The sequence below is a fragment of the Homo sapiens genome, chromosome X (genome assembly GCF_000001405.40).
Source record: "Homo sapiens chromosome X, GRCh38.p14 Primary Assembly".
In the NCBI taxonomy this organism is placed as follows: Eukaryota; Metazoa; Chordata; class Mammalia; order Primates; family Hominidae; genus Homo; species Homo sapiens.
Window position 1 is genome coordinate 116,370,896 of NC_000023.11, and position 21,353 is coordinate 116,392,248.

At 36.4% G+C, this 21,353-nt stretch overlaps 1 annotated feature.

Annotated features, from left to right (window-relative positions):
* Positions 4,479 to 5,046: an enhancer, noted in NCBI's record as "NANOG hESC enhancer chrX:115506523-115507090 (GRCh37/hg19 assembly coordinates)". NCBI's record gives its function as "activates a minimal SCP1, AML or CMV promoter by ChIP-STARR-seq in naive H9 embryonic stem cells {active_cell/tissue: H9 hESC(naive)}" and the evidence as "EXISTENCE:reporter gene assay evidence [ECO:0000049][PMID:30033119]".

Sequence of the window (21,353 nt, forward strand, 5' to 3'; positions counted from 1 at the left end):
TCTGTCTTTTCTTCACACATCCTTTAAGAAACATGTTGCCCTGTGTGACTAATTTACACATTCAAATGCTTTTAAATATGCCTAATCATGTTTCTGGCCTAGGAAGGAGGAAAATGTCAGTATTATTTGTTCCAAGACTCCTCCTAGAAATATCTCTACGAGTTGATTTCTTCAATTTTTCTGTGGGTTTCTCATTCCTGTCTTTGATCTGTCCTTGATCTCTGATCCTTTTTGGCAAGAATCTTGACTCCACGTCTGCTTCTAGACCCACCTACTCCTCACTTATCTCAATGTCTTTCTATAGCCCATTCCTCCAGCTCTGGATCTACCTGATAATGCCATAGATTTTCACAAAAAATAAGATAGTTGTCTGCCTTATGTCATCTTCAGAAACTAGCTGTTATGGACCAGTCACTCATGGATATATTTATTTTCTTTGTGTGTGTGTGTATCCTCTTATTTGTATATGCATACTATCTATGGTGTAAAGAATTACTTCCTCTTGTTTGCCATAAAACCAGCTAGTTTAAGCTACAAGGAGTGTCCCCTAGATCTGGTGTTAATATGTGCTTAATGACATTAAGGTCACAGTTTTTAATGTCTGTTTACATTAACTTCACACTGCTATCCCTCAAATCCTATTTTGTTGCCACAGATACCACTGATGCCTTAGGTCACAAAGGATCATGAGGGAAAATTATTTTTTATTCTCCCAAACAATTCCACCCAAATTAGACTCAAACTCTCCAGCCAGGTTTTCAAGGCTCTCCACAATAGAATCCCCACCTATTCTCTGAAATGATTTTCTGTTACTCCCTTATGTGTGTACCTTTCTTTCCAGCCAAACAGGATTATTTTTTCCTCCTCAAACAGGCCACATTTGTTTTTGGATTACGTGTCTTTGTCATTCCCTCTCTCCGGAGGAAACACATACCACCTATTAAACTATGATTGTGGAAAACTACTGATTATCAAAGTTTTGTTCAAAGCTTTAGTGGGGGTGCTGACCTGAATTTCTTGCAAACATTCTTCTTTATTCCTTAGCAGAAAGCCTCTGCTCTAGCCCAAATGATCTATTCCTCTTTCCACAACCATTCAATACATATGTTCAGTGCTGTGATTTTGCTCATGATATTCCTTGTGCTGAAATCTTGTGGGGAAATTAAAGAGAGCCTACCAATAATTATAAATCAAACTAAAGAGAAGTGTTTGGGTACTTTGAAGTAACTTGTAGTTGGGAGGATTAGGAGAGCATTTCAGATAACTTTGAAGTATAAATAACATTTAAATGGGCAGATACAGATAGGTTTCCTTGTGGGAGGGTATCACAATGAATCTAGCACATGGTAGGCACTTAATATATATTTGTCAAATGAATGAATACATGAAGAATGAATGGATCAGTGTGCTAGCCTGTATCTGTATCAGTGTGAATGAGTTAATCACATCTGCTCTTTCTTGATTAGGACATATTTGGAACAACATAAGGGCATTAGGTGCCTAACAGGAGAAGAGGTATATACGTTAATAGAGGTATATCAGTAGAAGATAAGAAATGCCTGCCTCACAATTTTTCTAAACGCTGGTCCAGTTGAAATAATAATCTAAGGGTCTGTGGTAGCTGTTCAAGGCTGTGGAGTACATTTTTAGGCTTATAGGCTTTGTCATGCCCTTATCTTCCAAGGTAGACCTCACTGCAGAAGGATACCACCCATTTGTACCTACCTGTGGGAATTTTCTCCTTGATCATTTTGGGTTTGTTTCATTCATACCTCACAGGAGAACTTTACAGTTTTATTATGATGGCTATATCTGGAGTTCTTGCAATAATTCCCTTAGCTGAAAACTTCCCATTCCAGTCCCATTCCAGTGATAACCTGAGCTTCCATTTGAAGTTTTCAAAGGGCTTTAATATAAATCATATCTAGTGCTACCCTGATGTCAGCTTTATTATAGAAATAATCAGTGACTCAAATTAGGTAAGAGAGGGCCAGGCGTGGTGGCTCACACCTGTAATCCCAGCACTTTGGAAGGCTGAGGCTAGAAGATTGTTAGAAACCAGGAGTTCAAGACCAGCCTGGACAACATGGCAAGATCCTGTCTCTACAAAATGTAAAAATAAATTTAAAAAACTAGCTGGGTGTGGTGGTGCACACCTGTAGTCCTAGTTACTCAGGGGGCTGAAGTGGAAGGACCACTTAAGCCCAGGAGTTTGAGGCTGCAATGAGCTATGATGGCACTACATCACTTCAGCCTGGGTGACAGAGCAAGAGCCTGTCTCTGAAAAATAAATACAAATAGGTAAGGGTGGTAAGTAGTACATGCGGGGGATGTCCTGATATCATCTTAAGTAACAGTGAATAGGCCTGAAAAAATGCTATGGGTCATGGAAAGTGGGTCTCCACCCTTTAGACCTTAGTCATTAATAGTCACAAAAACAGAATAGAAAATTCAATTGGCCAATAAACATATGAAATTATGTTCTGCCAAATGCTAATCAAAGAAATGAAAATTAAAACCCTAATAAGATACTATTCATCAAAATTTCAAAAATAAAAAAAATCAGATAGTACCAAAGGCTGGTAAGAATGTGAGGTACAGGGAATACTGGTGGGAGCATAAATTGATATAACCTCTATGGTGAATAATTAGGCAGCAGCACTTAATGCAACTCAAGTTGCATACAACCTACCATTTTACCCTTAGCATGTACGAATATGTATTGTATTTTATCTTGGTATATACCAGAGAGAAGTACTCACCCATAAACTTCAGGAAGAATGTACAATAATGTTAGCATGTACAATAATTGTGTCATTCATTCAATACACATTTATCAAATATCTGCTTTATTCCTGGCACTGTTTGGAGCTGGGATTACATCATTAAACAAAGCAGACAAATATCCCTGTTCTTGTGTTTTCATTCAAGTAAAGTAAAGCACTCTTTGTTATGAAGAAAAAATGAAAATTGCCTAAGTCACCATCAAGAGGAAAATGAGAAATAATGTGTTTTCTTAAACAACATAATACCATAAAACAGTACCTCATAGAACTAGATATTTCTCATTGATTTTTGTGAAAAAAGCAAGTTGCAGGATGATGTTGTATATAGCATTTATGTTAATGTTTTAAACAAAAAAATGCTAAATACTTTGTAGGTAGATGTATGTGCATATAAATGTGTTACAATAAAAAAGAAATGGAAGGATACTCATTATGCTGGTTGCCCCTAGAGAGTATATGTGTGTGGATGGAGAAAATAAAATGGAATTTTGGATGAGGATAAAGATTACTTCAATTTTACCTGTAATATTTGATTTCCTTTATTTTTTAAAAAAGAATGGCAAAATGTTAAAGTCATAGTCTGTTTAGTGTTATAAAGGAATACTTAAGGCTGGGTAATTTATAAAGAGCAGAGATTTATTTGGCTCATTATTCTGATGTCTGGAAAAGTTTTAGATTGGCCATTGTATTTGGTAGGGGCCACAGGCTGCTTTCTCTCATGGCGGAAGGTAAAAAGAAGCTGGCATGTATAAATATCACATGGCAAGAGAGGATGCAAGGGGTGAGGCGTACCACGCTCTTTTTAACAACCAGCTTTCTTGGAAACTAATAATCGTGAGAATTCACTCACCCCTAAGAAAGGATATTATTCTATTCATGAGGAATCTGCCCCCATGAGCCAAACTCCTGCTACTATACCCACCTTCCAACACTGCCACACGGAGTATTAAATTTCAACATGAGATTTACAGGGGACAAACATCCAAAGTACAGCAGTTAATAATTTCCTATTCTGGGTAGTAGGCTTTTTTTTTTTTAATAAAAATGTTTTTATTTTTGCTTTTATATTGAGTACTCAAAAAAAAAAAAAAAGGAAAAGAAAGGTAATTAACCAAAACAAGAACAAGTCAATGCATGATAAATGCTGAATGGGTGATATGCAATTTGCTCCTTCCCTCCCTTGTTTCTTTCTTTCTTAGCTTCCTTTATGTCTTTCAATAATACCAGCCCACTCTACCAGAACTTATTTTTTTCATGATGACATGAATTCCTGTCCAAATTTCAACTCAATTGTTCGGAGCAACTGCAATGTGAATACCTGTTGTCACAAATAAAATGACCATGAGACCTACCAATTCATGGTTACAGATGGAAACTATATCATCACTTTTGCCCATTTCAGCTTTTGGACTAACTTTTCCATATTTCAGCCCCAATCGTGTATGCATAATTGTGATTACTTCAAAGATAATGCTCAGTTTATGGCATGGAATCAAGTGAGGTGATTTTATATGATGAACTTACTAGAAATATAAAATTGTCTATAAAATGTTGACATACATATATTGTTGATAATTTTATAGTAATAACCATGTTAAAGATTTTAATATGGATTTGTAGAAGTTACCCATTGTATACATAAGAATATTCATTACCAATTTAACATGAAATGAGGAGGGGGACACAGAGAGAGGAAATGATTAGGTGAGAGTTTTTCAATGCAATAATCACCAACCACTTCAGATTTTGTCTAATAAATACCATGTAATGACAGCATATGTGTTCACGTGATAGGCTTGTTTAACGGAGTTAAGGTTATAGACTGTAGAATAAAGTGATTTATTGGGAATCGAGTTCTGTTACTCACCACAGCAGTGTGCAGGATGTGAGTGATGTCCTGTAGATTAACAACTCACAAAGAGAGCTCTCAATAACTACTGCTGGTGGTGATGATTACTTGCAACCACTTTGTTTGGGAGAAAGCCTTTCAAGTGATGAAAAGAAAACAAATCTTCATCCTCATCTACATTATCAACAGGGGTCCATTTAACCAGAAAAGAATTTGGCATTCAAGATAGATTCTAATATAAGCTGTTAATTCATAGAGAGCAGGAGCATTTTTTAAAAGTCCCACATTTCTAAAAGTTATATGACCAACCAGTTAGTCTTTTAATGGTATAAGCTCAAAAGCGAATGTATGTGGTGGGTCCCTACGTCAAAGGCAATGCTTCCACAAACCGTATGAGAAAAATCTGTCTCCACATCTTGAGGTTACACCTTGGCCTTCTCAAGTCATTTTTGCACAGTGAGATCCTGTAGACTCAGCTTTGCTACCCTGGGGCCCAGAAACTCACTAACAAATTAAAAAGCTGAGTATAGAATGGGGACATAGGACAAACTGAAGAATTGAGACTAAGCAGTAGATAGGATAGTGTTAAAGCCACAAAGTTTTGCACGGCCAATGCAGAATGTGACAAGTTGGCCACCTCTTGGAGTCAGTGCTTTAACTGCTGCTTATAATGGGATGAATTCAACTTGAAACTGGCCACATTGGTATGCACTCACACATGCTGTTGGTTTTTTAAATGTAAAGATGTTATGTTGCTGTCTGTTTGAATTGCCCTGACAGGTGGTGGTTATTCAAGCAATAACTCAATTTTGGCCATGGAGTGATTTCATTTGAAGAAGGGTGTTTAGTTTGTATGGAGGCTTTGGAATGCTAAGATCTAGTTATCTTACCTCTAAAATGTAGACCAAGCATTTCAGGCTTCTTCTTGACTCTTGATGTCTGAAGGGGTCTTCATGTTACAACATGGGGTTAATTTACTTCTGTTCTGTTCTGACCCATGTAACCAGACAAAGTGATGAAAACATCTTAATGAACTGGAAAACCTCATGCCGGTGACTTGGGGAAAAGAAAGTCTTACTTCAAACATCCTAGAAGCATTAGAAAGCTACAGGTATGTTAAAACTGTAGCCTCTGACTCCTACTGTGGGAAATGCACAATCTTATTTATTAACGGCCATCTGGGCTGCACTGCAAAGCATTGCAATGTTACTTAAAGCCTACCTGTGATCAGCTATACAACTCAAAAGTAACAGAAAAGTTCTGGCACTCTTAGCACTAATAAGCCAAACACAACACTGACGTAAATGGATACTGTAGCCATGTACAAACAGAAAAATTTTAATATTTACCTGCATTCCACAAACTAGGCACACAATATAAAAATAAACAGTTAAATAAATATTTTACTTTTTCTATTCCTACAGCAAAACCTTATAACTACCATGAATATAACTCAATTAGTGATTGGCTCAAATACCCCACCATGCCCCATTCTCAAGTAGTAGTGGGTTATCTTTCTGAGATAGCTACAGGGGTTCCAAGAATAAAGGTATTAAGTGGAGTGGACAGCTGCTACTAAGAGGTGCCAAGCTACATCTGGAAGCCAAATGGATTATATTAGTACAGCTGGACTCTTGAAAATGGAGGCCTGCTAGCTGTCGGAGATCACCTGGTCATTATATTTAACCTTGTAATGCTTCAACGCTACATTTTTCAATTGAATTTTGGAACTTTTCTGGCAAACATAATTCAAAAAAAAAACATTGCAATTTGGATCTTACTTGTTGACTTATGGCAGAAATTTTTACTATACTACTATTACTGTCTTACTTTAACTAGTACTAATGTTAATATTACTACTGTTATATTAGCAAGATCTACCCTACATTGAACACTTGAGTGTTGTCATGAACTGTGCTTTACATAACTATCTCATCTAATTCTTACAGTAACCTTAAGAGATAGGTGCTGTTATTATCCCCATCTTAAAGAAACAGAGGGTCAGAGAGGATAGATAACTTCCCCAGAGTCACGGATTGATAGAGTGAGATTCAGGCCCAAAGTTTTTGACATCAAAGCCCCAGTGGCTAACAAGTACTATACCACATTGTATGCTTCCTTTTATTGGACTTTCTTCTTCTATGGTTTATTAGAGATCTAATAAAAACCAGAGATGTAGCCAGGGTGGACCCCACCCACTTGCCCTATTTCTTCTTTCTCCTCTCCTAACCAAAGAGAGTTGAAATGTTGACCAAGAAGACAGCATTTCTGGGAAGCTAGGAAAGGAAGAAGTCTGTCCATTAAGCATCTGTTTACATTTTTAATTAACAAAGTATAATGAGACCCTTTCTGATGAGTTGCAGGACCCAGAATGGAAATTTATACCACTACATGCTTTTAATGAAAATGTGTTCTTTGCTAATAACTTCAAAATGAAACACGTTATTGATGCAATATGGACCAAAAGTGTGGCCAAGCACTCAACTGGAAGAAAAAACAAAATGAAAAATTGTCCCAAATGACCAAAGTAGACTAAAATTAGTTATAAAATAAATTGGCAAATCCAAGGAGAGCTTCTAACTTTCTTTCTCAATCAAATTAAATACACATATGTAGCTTGTTAAAGACTTAATGCCTAAATTTTAACAAAAATATCATTATCACTTGTATATTGGTGACTGGCACTGAAGTCATGCTCAATTGGAATACAATTTGGTTATCTATAATGCAGGCAATTAATAGGCCCAGAATTATATAAATGCACCTACTGGCATTCTAGTATATAAAGTCTTTTCATTTTACTCTCCAAACCTTATAACCTAAGCTTTATCCAAAAGGAACAATAAAATATCTCTTGCACTATTTCTTTCCCAGAGTGAGAGTCAGAAAGAGGCTGTTTTGTTTCATTTACATTTGTTTTGTTGGACTTAAAAGGCTGAGGGTTGACTTCATCATACGAAGTTACAGCACACCATCACCACTAGTTTGTGCAAGTCCCTGCTATCTATCCTATCTATCTATCATCTATCTATCTAATTTTTATCCCCATTTCCCACTTCTGTTATTCTCCCCTTATAATAGGCAGTCATTCTAATGCACATGACATGCATTATTTCATTTATGGTTTTTGTAAAATGTTTATTATTATTTTGTGTGCACATATTTTTAGTTTACATAATTAGCAGGGTGCTTATTCATGTTACATATATAAATATATATATATTTTTATATTCAAAGCATATAATTACAAGATAAGACTTTTTTCTTTTTTCCCAGTTAGTTTTATCCACTCTGGGAGAATAGGCATATCAACTGTAAATTGTAGAAAGTAAAGTATGGCCAGATCCATACAGTGATTTTAGTTTGCAAACTGTAGCACTACTTTTAATGGAGGTACACACATCTTGAATTAGATTCTCTTTAATTCTTCCAAAATATTATCTTGAATTAGATTCTCTTTAATTCTTCCAAAACATTCATGCTTCACAGTTCTTTTTTGCTAGTTGACTAATCTTAATAAACCTCAGGACAAAGTATAGGTTACTTGCAATTATGGGTTTTAATTGTGTTGTGACGTCCATGTTTGTACAGCTATCTGATTACCCAAACTTGTCTCAGCCTGTTTAAATGAACAGCACTGAAACAATCAGTAAAAGGTACTAAAAATGAAGTATTATTTACAAAGATGAGCTGGACAAAATGTAAATATACTTTTGATGTGTTAGGAACCCCGAATTCCAGTCCTGGCTCAATTTCAATCTCACTGTGTCAATCTGAGCAAGTCTTCTCTAGGCCTCCATATATAAAAATGAAGAGTGTGAAATAGGTACATTCTAAGGTTCCTCGTAGCATTATTATTCCAGGCTAAAATGATTTGCAGTTGTTGTCTCAATAAATACTCTATTTCTTCTCCTCCTGACCTGTCACCCAATTATATCAGGAAAACATGTACAAGCAAAAGATTAGGCTGCCTTTTATCTTTTCCATTAGAGTTAGAAGATGAGAGGCCCAGGGGCAGGAACAGGTAGCAATAGATATATCTTTGAAGAGCCATGCCGGAAATCTAGAGGCAGCCATACACAGAAGTAAGAGTTGGTTTAGAGAAAGCTATTGATTGTTCACAGAACGAAGAAACAAAAGTATGTACTGTTCCACAGATAACAAAAATGATCCTGGAGGAGAAACATGAGTCTACCAAGCAGAACTAATGATTTTTCAAAATATTGTGTTTGAACTGACCTTTCTGTGGAAAAACCTTTAAAACACTTTCTCTGTGTCTGTGCTAAAGGCAGACATGTAGTCAGGTGAATAAATATGCCAATGTTTTTTCTACACATATCTAGAAAATACTCAAATAGTCCAAGTCAGATGCAGTAATATGATTTCTAGACTGTTATTAAATGTGTAGCTGAATTTTCTCCATGGATATTGCGACATCCTCAGTTTAATTCTCAAATGCCTGTTGGGACTGGAGGGGATTGAGAGATCATTGATCCAAGTCTGAGACTGGCTCCGAGTCAGGAAATGAACAGCAAATGCGTCATCGTCCTGGCTAGAGAAGGCCTGCTGCATGGCAGGATTTAACATTGCCCCAGTACAACCTTAGGAAGGCATTTTCCAAGACCATAAACCTTGCCTTTTCCAATTTCATCTCCAGATCCCTGCATCCCTCCAGGGATTCATTAGCCCCACCCCATCTCTCAGTGCACTGGATTCCTAAGAACCTCTTACACAGTACAGTCTAATGCACACAGTCTTGTTGATATTTGGTGCCAAGTCTTGTGCTGTTGGGGATGTAGGTCTTAGACCAGAGTTAAATTCTGGCTATGGCGATGACTGTTTATGTGTTCTTGGGAAAGATATGATCCAAGATCCTAATTCAATGGGAGGAATCACTGAGGCACATGGAGGTTAAAATAATACAGTCATATTTATACAGAGAATCAGGAGCAAAGCCAAAAGAGGAATGCAAGTCTCTCCTCTTACCTCTAATTAAATGTTCTCCGGATGGTGGTAGTGGGTGATTCTTTTCTTGAGAATGTTCAACTGTGAGTCTCCAAGAAACAGTTAACAAAAGGTACCCTAATATAATATGATGCTAAAAGGATCTCTGAAATAAGACAGATCAGGGTTCGAATCCTGGGTAGAATACCATAAGGTGTGTGATCTTGAGTAAATAAATTAAGTGCTCAGTTCTGGAAGTTACGCTGCTGATATTAATATAGCTACTCTAGTTTTCTTTTAAACAGTATGAGCATGGAATATCTTTTTCAATCCTTTTTCTTTTAACCTACTTGTGTTTTTATATTTAAGGTGTGTTTCTTGTAAGCAGCATATAGTTAGATGATCCTTTTAAATCTAGTCTCACCATCTCTGCCTTTAAATTGGAGTGTTTAAATTACTTACATTTAATGTGACTATTGATATGATTAAAGTACATCATCTTATTTGTTTTTCATTTGTCCCATCTTTTTTTATCTTTTCCCTGCCTTCCTCTTTTGATCAATTGAGTAATTTTTATGTTTCCTTTTCATCTCCTTTTTTTGGCTTATGAAGTCTTTGTTCTGTTATTCTAGTGATGAATTTGCCTTCAAGTGATGTTTAACTATTGCACATGTATTAATAATAATCTTAAAACAGTATAACTTCATTTCTCCTTTTTTGGCCTTTATGCTATTGTTATGAATTTTATGTATGTTTCAAACTCCACAGCACATTGTTATTACTTTTGTTTAAACAGTCAATTTTCTTTTTCAGATCTATTCTATTTGTCTATCTATCTATCTATCTATCTATCTATCTATCTATCTATCTATCTGTCTATCTATCTATCATCTGTCTGTCTATATCTTTTCACCCATGTTGTTGCCAATTCTTCATTCTTTGGTTTAGATACAGATTTTAATCTGGTATCACTTCTCTTCTGCCTAAAGAAGTTTCTTTAACTGTTCTTGAACAGAGGGGCTGCTGGTGATTAATTATTTCAGCTTTTGTATGGCCTAAAGTATCTTAATTTGTCTTAATTTTTGAAAATATTTTGCTAGGTGTAGAATTATACATAGACAGTTTTTTTTCTTACAATACTTTAAAGACGCTGCTCCACAGTTTCTTTTTTGCCTCATTTCCCATGAGAAATATGTTGTCAGCATTATATTTGCTTCTCTGAATATAAAGGTATTTTTTTCTGTGGCTGCTTTTAAGATTTTCTCTTTATTATTGCTTTTAAAGCAATTTGATCGTAACATGTTTTGGTGAAGTTTTCTTCGTTTTTATTTTATTTTATTTTTATTTTTTTGTTTACTGTGGCTTGAATGTCCCTTCCAAAACCTCATGATGAAACTTAATCTTAAATGTGGGAGTGTTGAGAAGTGAGACCTTTTTTGAGATGGAGTCTCGCTTTGTCACCCAGGCTGGAGTGCAGTGGTACGATCTTGGCTCACTACAACCTCTGCCTCCCAGGTTCAAGTGATTCTCCTGCCTCAGCCTCCCAAGTAGCTGGGATTGCAGGCACGCGCCACCACGTCCAGCTAATTTTTGTGTTTTTAGTAGAGATGGGGTTTCACCACGTTGGCCAGGCTGATCTCAAACTCCTGACCTCAAGTTATCCACCCACCTCGGCCTCCCAAATTGCTGGGATTACAGGCATGAGCCACCGTGCCCATGAAGAAGTGAGGCCTTTAAGAGGTGACTGGATAATGAGGGCTCTGCCCTCATGGATAGTATAATCTGTTCATGGATTAATGGAATAATGGGTTGATGGATTAATGAGTTATTATGCAAGTCAAACTCGTGATTTTAAAAGAAAAAGAGACCTGATGTTAGCATGCTTAGCTCCTTCACCATGTAATACCCTGTCCTGACTTGAGACTGTGTAGAACCCACACCAGCAAGAAGACTCACCAGATGCTTGTCCTCAACCTTGGACTTCTCAGCCTAAGTGGGAAGTGTAATAAATAACTTTCATTTTTAATTACTCAGTTTCAGGTATTCTGTTGCAAGCAACAGAAAACAGACTAAAACAGTGGGCTTGGAATTTATTGAATTTCTTTTATCTGTGCATTAGTAGATTTTATCAAATTTAGAATTTTTTCAGCCAATATTTCTTCAAAATGTTTCTCCCATTTTTTTCTCTCCTCTTTTTGTGACTCCAAACATGTATATTATGCCTATTAAAGTTGTCCTATAGCTGTTTTTTCTCTTTTTTTATTTGTCTCTGCATTTCCTTTTGGATAGCTTCTATCACTATAACTTTAATTCAATGAGTCTTTCTTCCACAACATACGATGTGTTGCTAATCCTATTAAGTGCAGTTTTTATTAAACACATTGAAGTTTTATCTCTAGGAGTTTGATGTGGGTCGTTTTAACATCTATGTCTCTACTTTTTGAACATATCAAATCTAGTTATAAGCATTCTAATGTCTCTCAGCTAATTCTAACATCTGTGTCATTTCTGGTTCAATTTATTTCCTGCCTCTTTACATGTCTGTTAATCTTTGATTTGATGCCAAAGATTGTAATCTCACCTTGTTAGCTGCTGGAAATTTTTATTTTTATAAATATTCCTGAGCTCTGTACTATAACACAGTAAATTTACTTGGAACCATTTTTATCTTTTTGGTTCTTGTTTTTATGATTTGTTGGATGGTTCTGGAGCAGTGCTCAGTCTAATATATTCCACTATTGAGAAGTGACGCTTTTGTGTAGTCTATCCAATGCCCCATGAATTATGAGTCTTTCCAGTCTGGATGGTGGGAACAGGTACTATTTTCCGCTCTTTTCTTCTCATTTTTAAAATGTTTCTTTCCCAGTCTTGGTTAGCTTCCTCATGCATATATTAATATGTACTCTGCTGAATACTTAAGGTAGGCCTTCTGAAAACTTCCGGGGTTGTCTCTCTGCACAGCTCTCTCCTCTTTGGTCATCTGTCCTATGAACTCCAGCTGCATTAGATTCCCTGGACTTTGAGCTGCATCTGCTCAATCCAGGGAGTCCACTGTCCTTTGTCTTAATCGCCACTCTCTATGCCATATTTTGGAAAATATCTTAATATAGTAAGTTGGGATAATCATAGAACTCACCTTATTTGTTTCTCATCTCTTGGCTATCACTGTTCTTCACTGACTGATTCCCAGCATCTTAAAAACTTTTTTTCATGTATTTTGTCTGTTTTTGTTTTTGTGGTTTGTTTTAGGTAAGAAGATAAATCCCATCCTTGTTCCTCCGTCTTGGTTGGAAATGGAAGTCCCAAATGAACTTTTCTAAACATCAGTTTCCTGATTTGTAAAATGGAAATAACAGTAGTCCCTATGGGATTGGGTATTTGAGAAGATTAAGTTATATATACACATGAAACTTTCTCATAACTGCTCAATAAATACATATTATGCTCTCTTCCTCTTTATTACACTCTAGTATACCTCTCCACATCATGCCTAGCAGGTGACTGCTTCCTTAATGGCCTGCAATGCCTACAGAGGTGGTTTAAGCAATATTTGTAACCACTGCAAAATGTCAGTCCCTTAATATTTGAATTTATTCCAAAAACTTATTTGATGTAGGAAAAGAAAGAGAATCATACCTGATTTGTTTTAAGAAAACAAATTGAAAGAAGTAAATTTATATTTCCCCCAGTGCTGAAAGTAAATTAAAAAAATGTAACTCTATCACTGCTTCTAAGGACAGTAATTTTTTTCGTGTGTGTGTGTGTGTGTGTGTGTGTGTGTGTGTGTGTGTTTCTGAGAGAGAGAGAGAGAGAGAGAGAGAGGAGAGATTCATCATTATAACACAGACAAGCATTTAAAAAGCTATGTGTTATTTCAAATTTGGTATTCCCTGGTCTTAAGGACAACTCTAGTATTTACACTTTCCTAGCTTAGTTAAGTCTATGGATCAGTTATAATATAGTTCTTTGTGTCTTTTCCAGGAAACAAGATGCCTTCTAGTAAGGAAGTCACACACCCTTCTAGAAAACTTGATAGAAAGATTGAGAGAGGTTCAGCTGGAAAAGGAGGGCAGACACCCAAAGATGATGTAGGCCAAGGAGTGCGTCACAGCTAGCATACGGTGTCCAAATATACTACAGAGCATAACTTGACCTTTAAAGAAGGAAAAATCTTGCCAAAGATTGAGTCAACTTATACTCTGCATCTCCTCCATGAACATTTTAGAGTATTGCCTCTGCTGAACAGCATTCCATTCATTGAATTATTTATTCAATTAGCAAATGTTTATTCAGCATATACTATGTGCACAGCATAGTGCCAGGGGCAGTGATGAATAAAATATAGTATATCACCCTATGGAAGTTTTATAGTTAAATTGCTGCCAAAGCAAGGAGTGACTTCAATTCGTGTACTTAACTTCAACAGAATTTCACACTGTCAATCCACTGTGAGAGCTGGGAGAGAAATGACTCTTTTAAAATTATGCTGGCTCTTTTTGGTCCTGACCCTGTAACTTTAATTCAGTCCTACTCACTCATATCACATATTTAATCATCAATAAAGTTAAGCCACAGATAATGCATTTTTAGCATTCACATAGGAACTACCATGTATCTCTCTGGACCTTCCCACTATCCCATTCTTATGCTACTACTACTGATTCTTGACTTTATTTTCTATATTCGATTGTGTTCTTGTCCTTTGGATTTGTCAGCTTTAACTGACCGTTGTTTATCAAGCTTGATCCTCTGAGGATTTTAGTATAGCTTACCTCTCTGAATCCTTTGTGTTCCTAGATACCTCAGGTAGGGCAACCTGGCCTAGCTCTGGTGTCCAGAACTCAGATTCTGGCTAGGCTTTTCCTGGTTCTTGGGAGGTGAAAATAGGACATTTCAGAGTTTAGGCAGAGGAAATAGCAAGTAAAAAAAAAGTCCTATGGTATGAGAGGAACACAGTAGAGTCCACAGGGTCTGGAGAATTGTGAGCAAGAGAAGAGTGACATGAGATAAAGTTGGAGATATGGGCAGAGACCAGATCTTCAGTTTAACCTTGCGACCATTGACTATTGGAAGCTTTTTCACTGTGTGTTGTTGGTCTCCAACCCCCTAGCAAGAGCCTCAGATCAAATGTCAGGAAGCCCGTGTTCTGGCATTATTCTACCATAAATTTATGTATCTCTTTTAATGAGCTACTTATCTTTTCCTTCCCTAAGTTTTCTCATCTGAAAAATAAGAGGATTAACCTGGACTTTCTGTAAGGTCCCATCAAGCTCCAATATTCTATGATTTATAAAAATAACTTTCATAATTCTGACTAAAATCTCTGATCTGTGGGTTAATTTCAGCTGAACTACTTCAAAATCTTATCACTTACTTCTGGGAATATAAATCATAAGTAATCTCTTCCTAAATAGATTTTAAATTCTAAAAAGTTTTCTCAAAGTTCATTTCAACATATTTCAATTATCTCTGAAATTATCTATAGATGATAAGATATGACATTTTTATCCTCAATTACTTTCAAAATATGGCTTAGGAAAACACTTCCCTTTTTAAAAAGATTGAAATTTTGGCACTGTATATACATGATTAAAGATGTTTGAATAACAGTTTTTATGGATACAAATTTTTATAAATAACAGCTTTACTGATATACAATTCACACACTGCACAATTCACCCATCTAAAGTGTATCATTTCAATGGATTTTAGTATATTTAAGAGTTGTGCAATGAGCACCATAATGAATTTTAGACAATTTTCATTACTTCCCCCCAAAACCCCAAACCTATTTGTATAAGTCACAATTTTTAAAAGCTCACAGACATCTTTAAATTTTAGGAAGAGTCATGAAATAACATTCAAGGGGGTTATCTTTTCTCTTTGAGCTCTGTGACAGTTTTCTCATGGCACTGTGGGCTACAGTATATGAGTACAGTTGACCCTTGAACAATGTGGAGGTTGTGGGCATGGATGCCTCGCACGGTTGAAAATCCATGTGTGACATTAGACTCCCAATAAACTTAACTAATAGCTCACTGTTGACTAGAAACCTTACTTATAACATAAATTCAATTAACACATATTTTGTATGTTGTATGTATTGTATACTGTATTCCCACAATAAAGCAAGCAAAAGAAAATGTTATGAAGCAAATTATAAGACAAAATATATTTCCTATTTATTAAGTGGAAGTGGATCATCATAAAGGTCTCCATCCTCATTGCCTTTATGTTGAATAGACTGATGAGGAGGAGGAAAAGGAGGGGTTAGTCTTGCTGTCTCAGGGATGGCAGAGGTGGAAGAAAATCCTTGCACGAGTGGAGCTATGAAGTTCAAACCCATGTTGTTCAAGCATCAACTGTAAAGAGTATAACAACAATAGCAGTATAATCAAGAATGCATTCATCTTGGAAATGGTAAGATTTTTAGCTATTTACATAGGCACGCTGCATAGATGTATATTTGTTTTGCCCTAATGGATGGCAAAAAGCTAGCTCATGAAGTGATGTTGCTTGCTGAAGGCTGTTTAGGTTGCAGGGAGACATTTAGGAATATTGCTAGCCTTAGTTATCTAACATCAATACAACGTGAACCAAATTTAAGCCTCTCTTGCCAACTACAGGAATCTTTGGATTACAGCCAGGGCTCGTTTTGTTATTGACCTCTGATCTACCCAGTGTGAATGTGGCCTGTCTGAGTGGGGAGAAAATCTAATTGTTAATTTTGGAAAGTTGGGTCTCAATTTCTTGTGCAGTTGGCATTTTATCCATATAACGTATTTTATGTTTTTCCTTCATGCCCAGTGTTCTTAAATATTTTTGGAACTCTTCCAAGAATGTTTATGATAAACACAATGAAAAGGGCAAACCTGGACTATGATAAAAGTTGTGAAAATTTTAAGGGTTTGAGCTCCAGTAAGTGATCCTTTAGCTAATTAAACTTTGGTCTGCCTAAGCATCTAGGTCAGATTATTTTTCCCTGCTGGGCCCTAGCATTCCTATTGGTCAAACTACAAATAAATTAATTAAATAGGGAATTGTACCATGCTTGGGGTATTTTAGAGGAGTCCGAAATTACACCTATTTGTCTTTTTATCAGTCCAAATTTAGTCACAAAGAGTGCTAACTGAGAGGTTTCCTGGGCGCTTTTCCTAAGCACATTTCAGCAGCAAGCTCGCTCCAGGAATAAAGAAAAGTCAATTCTCAGAGAGGCAGAAAAGTGAAGATGCTTCTACTCTAAAATGTCAGGGAATATGCACAATTTTCTTGAATATGTAATAGTGCTCTTTTGGGAGATGTCAGTCGTTATCCCAGACCTACTGAATCAGTATCTGAATTTTTAGAAGATACCCAGGTAATTCATATACACATTAAAGTTTGAGAAGTGCTGCAGCAGATGCTCTCTAAAGGTATCCATTGGACTAGATAGTAGTTCTGGATATTTTTAATATAGTAGTTCTAGGGGTGGGGTCTGTGATTCTTAATTTAAATCAAGCTCCAAGATTACCTCTACAGACCACATTTGAGTAGTATTGAGCTGGTCTTTGACTTTCTGTAATGCTGTTACAAGAATAGGTTCCAGAAACCTATCTGAACACATATTTACCCAAATTATTTTCTGGGTTGACTTATAACTTATCTAATATAAGTATGTGCCAGAGACCAAATCTTGAGGGTCATTTAGAAAAATTTGTGTGTCTACTACAGAAATAAATTACTTTGTAATGTACTTTATACTTCTGGAAATAGATTTCAATACATTATCTTATTTGATCCCAGGATGCCTGCCCTTGGTTTCTCTGTACAGGCATTCTGGGGCTGGTCTGGGTCATGAAGCTGTGGCAATGAGAAGGCAGGTGTGTCTGGTCTTAGGCCCAAACTCCAAAAAACTAAACAACTGAAATGTTGCACTGTTGACCAATGGGCTGGCTGTCACCAGGGGTTTCCCAGCATACCCATACCTTGTGAGGAAAGAAAGCTCAAAGCCAGGGCTGGTCTCTTAAGAAATAAATGGGGTTATCAGAAAATCCATGGGTTGTTGGGATTTATTCTTAAGCTATTGGGATTTAATATTTATGTCCTTTTGCTGTATCTCAATAAAGACAGAGGAGAGACAGGGACACTGATTTGGTAACTATCAAAGCCTGAAATGTACTGGAAGAGCTTCCCTAGTTGGTTTTGGATGTGTGATCAGTTATTAGTTTCAACTCCCCACAGCTTTTTCACTTCTTAACTATAGTTCCCTAATCCAAAAGCAAACAGTAATGAAGTGTAAAACTTTCTCTGAGGTTTTTTGTTGACAATTAAGTAGAAACCAGATGGCAAAGTTGAATACTAGGCTGAGTAGAGGGACAAAAGGAGCTAAATTATTGACTTCCAATGCCTGTGAAATGTATTTACTTTGTTGCTTTGCTATGTGCTGGGCCCATGGAGAGTTTAGAAAAGTCTATAATCTTCAATACTCCTTACTTGTAATGGTAGTCAAAGCACCTTTGGAAACCATTTACTCAGAACAAACACTGGTACATAGCAAATAGCCCAACTGAAGGTTTATTTCCTAAGTATTCCAAAGATTATAATTCTGTGAAGTTAGTAAATATGTTGAGGAGCAAGTCTTTGATGAAAATATATCACCGTTCTCATCATGGTTAGCAGAAAATATCTATTGATACTTTATTGACTGAGTCTTTGTCAAAAAGCTAGTCCGAGGAAGAACTGAGGATGGATACCATTAGTTACAAAGGCTAATCAGAAGACCAGATATTGGTCCAATAATTCAACAAATATTTACTGAGCACTACAGTGCACTGCAGATAAAATAGAAAACAAGGTTGTCATGGTCTCTCCGTCTTCAGGGAAGCTGACATTTAATGATGGAGATGGACTAAAAAAAAAAATAAACCAACCAAAATATGGATGAATAACCTAATTACAGAATGTGATTGCAGCTAAAAAGTAAATTTAAAAGTGTGTTTTGAAAGAGAGTGATTAAGCGCATCTGATTTAGATAATAGCATCAGAGACGCTCGCTCTGAGATGGTTACTCCTAATCTAAGACCTGAAAATTAGAATGAGAAACAAGTGAAGAGTTTAAGGAAAAGCCTTTTAGTCAGAAAGATTAAGTTGTAAGGCCTTTGAAGTGGTGAAGAACTTGGCATGCTCTAGAAATAGAAAAAAGGTCAGTGTGACACTAGGTTACTTATTATCACTTTATTACTTTATCAACTAGTGAACCGCTTGAGATTGGGGGAAGAGGTTAGTTGCAGATATTATTTTAATAGCTATCTATGTATTGACATTCTCTTAGAGACCATGAGGACCCCTGATTGTTACAGACACCCTCCCGTGACCACGCTCCACAGCCCTGTGAGGGCATGCCTTTTAAACCCAAAATGGGAAAAAGTATCTTCAGTGTGTCCTGAGAGGTGTGGCGCTTCCAGTTCTGGGTGTTTCTGCACTTGACCACATATCAGCAAAGCAAGAAGAGTGCTGTGGGGTTGGCTGCAATGTTGGCTATACACACTTGAGCATAACACATTGCAATAGAAACTAAGGAGACTAAATTATGTGAGTCAGGGAGTTGAGGAATGCCACTGCCACCACTGTGACTCAAGGAAGGTGAAGTCTGGGGAGGACATATTCTCATCCTGAACTTCTCTTTTCTCCATTACTTGCTACCACTGTCCTTGAGATTAGATAAATCCTCATTACATCTTACCTGGATTATTGCAGTGTTCCTAGAGTTGGTCTCTCCTCCTTGGATCTGGTCCATTCTTCACACTAGCTGCTCTGTATTCTGATGATTTATGTATATTTCTTTTTTCATTACTATATTGTAAGCAGCCAGAGGAGCATGGCCAATGTCTGATTATCATTCTCCCACAGTAAAAGCCAACTCTTTATTGATTCCATAAATGTATATCAATAGAAATCCCTATGTAAACAGTTTTTCCACCTGATACTGAAGGGCTGCACAATTCACTTGCTAAAACAATTCACATTAATGTTTGCAAAATCAAAATCTCCCTTCTAAAGACCCAAGGCTTGAAGTGAGTTGCAATGAAATTTTGAATTCATTGACAGGTTCTTGGACCTGCAAAACTGAAAGTAATTAATGAGCATGTGAAATCTATAAGCTTCAATCTAGGTGGAAGAAAAGTATCCAAAAGGCACTGGATGGTTATAAACACAGATAACCAAATATACTTGGTAAAAAAATCTAGGTTCTCAGTCAAATTTGATTTTGACGATGTTATTTAAAATTTTATTATAGAGGATTTTAAATTCACAAAAGTGGAGATAATAGTATTAGAATCCCCCAGGTATCCATCACTCAGTTTCAACAATTAACAACACGTGGCTAATCTTGTATCATCAATACTCTCACCTGATGTCCTCCTTTCCTACTGATTTGAATCAAATCACAAACATAATGTCATTTCATCTGCAAATATTTCAGTATGATTTTCTAAGAGATAAAAATTTATGTATTTAAATTGAAAATACAAATTGTATATATTTATTTTGTATAATATATTTTGAAATATGTATACATTGTGGAATGACTAAATCAAACTAATTAACATATGCATTACCTCACACACATCACTTTTGTGAGGATTTTTTAAGAAATATAAACACAATTATCACACTTAAAAAGAGAACATCTGAAAAATTAACAATAATTCTTTAATATCATCCAACATCCAATAAGCATGCAAATGGTTGCTAAATTCTATCATGAACATCATTCGTTTCTTTGATCATGATCAAAATAAGATCCATATATTATGATTGATATATTTTCTTAAGCCTCTTTTAGTCTCTGGGTTCTGCTTTTAATTTTATTTTCTCTGAAAATACATCTGTTAAAAGAACTGGTTTGTCTTTTTTATTTTTATTTTTATTTTTAATTTTTTTTATTTTTTGGATATCACTCTGTCACCCAGGCTGGAGTGCAGTGGCACAATCATAGCTCATTGCAGCCTTGAACTTCTGGGCTCAAGCAGTCCTCCCTCCTCAGCCTTCCGAGTAGCTTAGACTACAGGCACGTGTCATTACACCCAGCTAATTTTTAATTTTTTTTTTGTAGAGAAACAGTCTCAGTATGTTGCCCAGGCTGTGATTTGTCTGTTCTTTAGAGTTTCGCAGAATCTGGGTTTTGCTGATCCCATCATAATGCAGTTTGACATGCATCTCTGTTTTCTGTATTTTCTATACATTTATACTTAGAGGTAGAAGCATATTCAATCACATTCAAGTTGAGTTTTGTTTATTTTCAAGAATACTTCGTAAGTTTTCTGAGCATAAACTCACTCATCTGTAAAAGCGGCCTAATGATAGAACCTACCTCACAGAGTCATTGAGAGGATTAAACCCAACAATCCTATAAAGTGCATAGCACAATGCTTCCACATAGACATTAATGGCACATGTATACATACGTAACAAACCTGCACGTTGTGCACATGTACCCTAGAACGTAAAGTATAATAAAAAAAATATATATATATAAAAGAAAAGTTGGGCGGGGCACGATGACTCACGCCTGTAATCCTAGCACTTTGGGAGGCCTAGGCGGGCGCATTGCCTGAGCTCAGGAGTTAGAGAGCAGCCTGAGCAACACGGTGAAATCCCGTCTCTACTAAAATACAAAAAAAAATTAGCTGGGCATGGTGATGGGCACCTGTAGTCCCAGCTACTCGGGAGGCTGAGGCAGGAGAATTGCTTGAACCTGGGAGGCGAAGTTGCAGTGAGCCGAGATCCAGCAG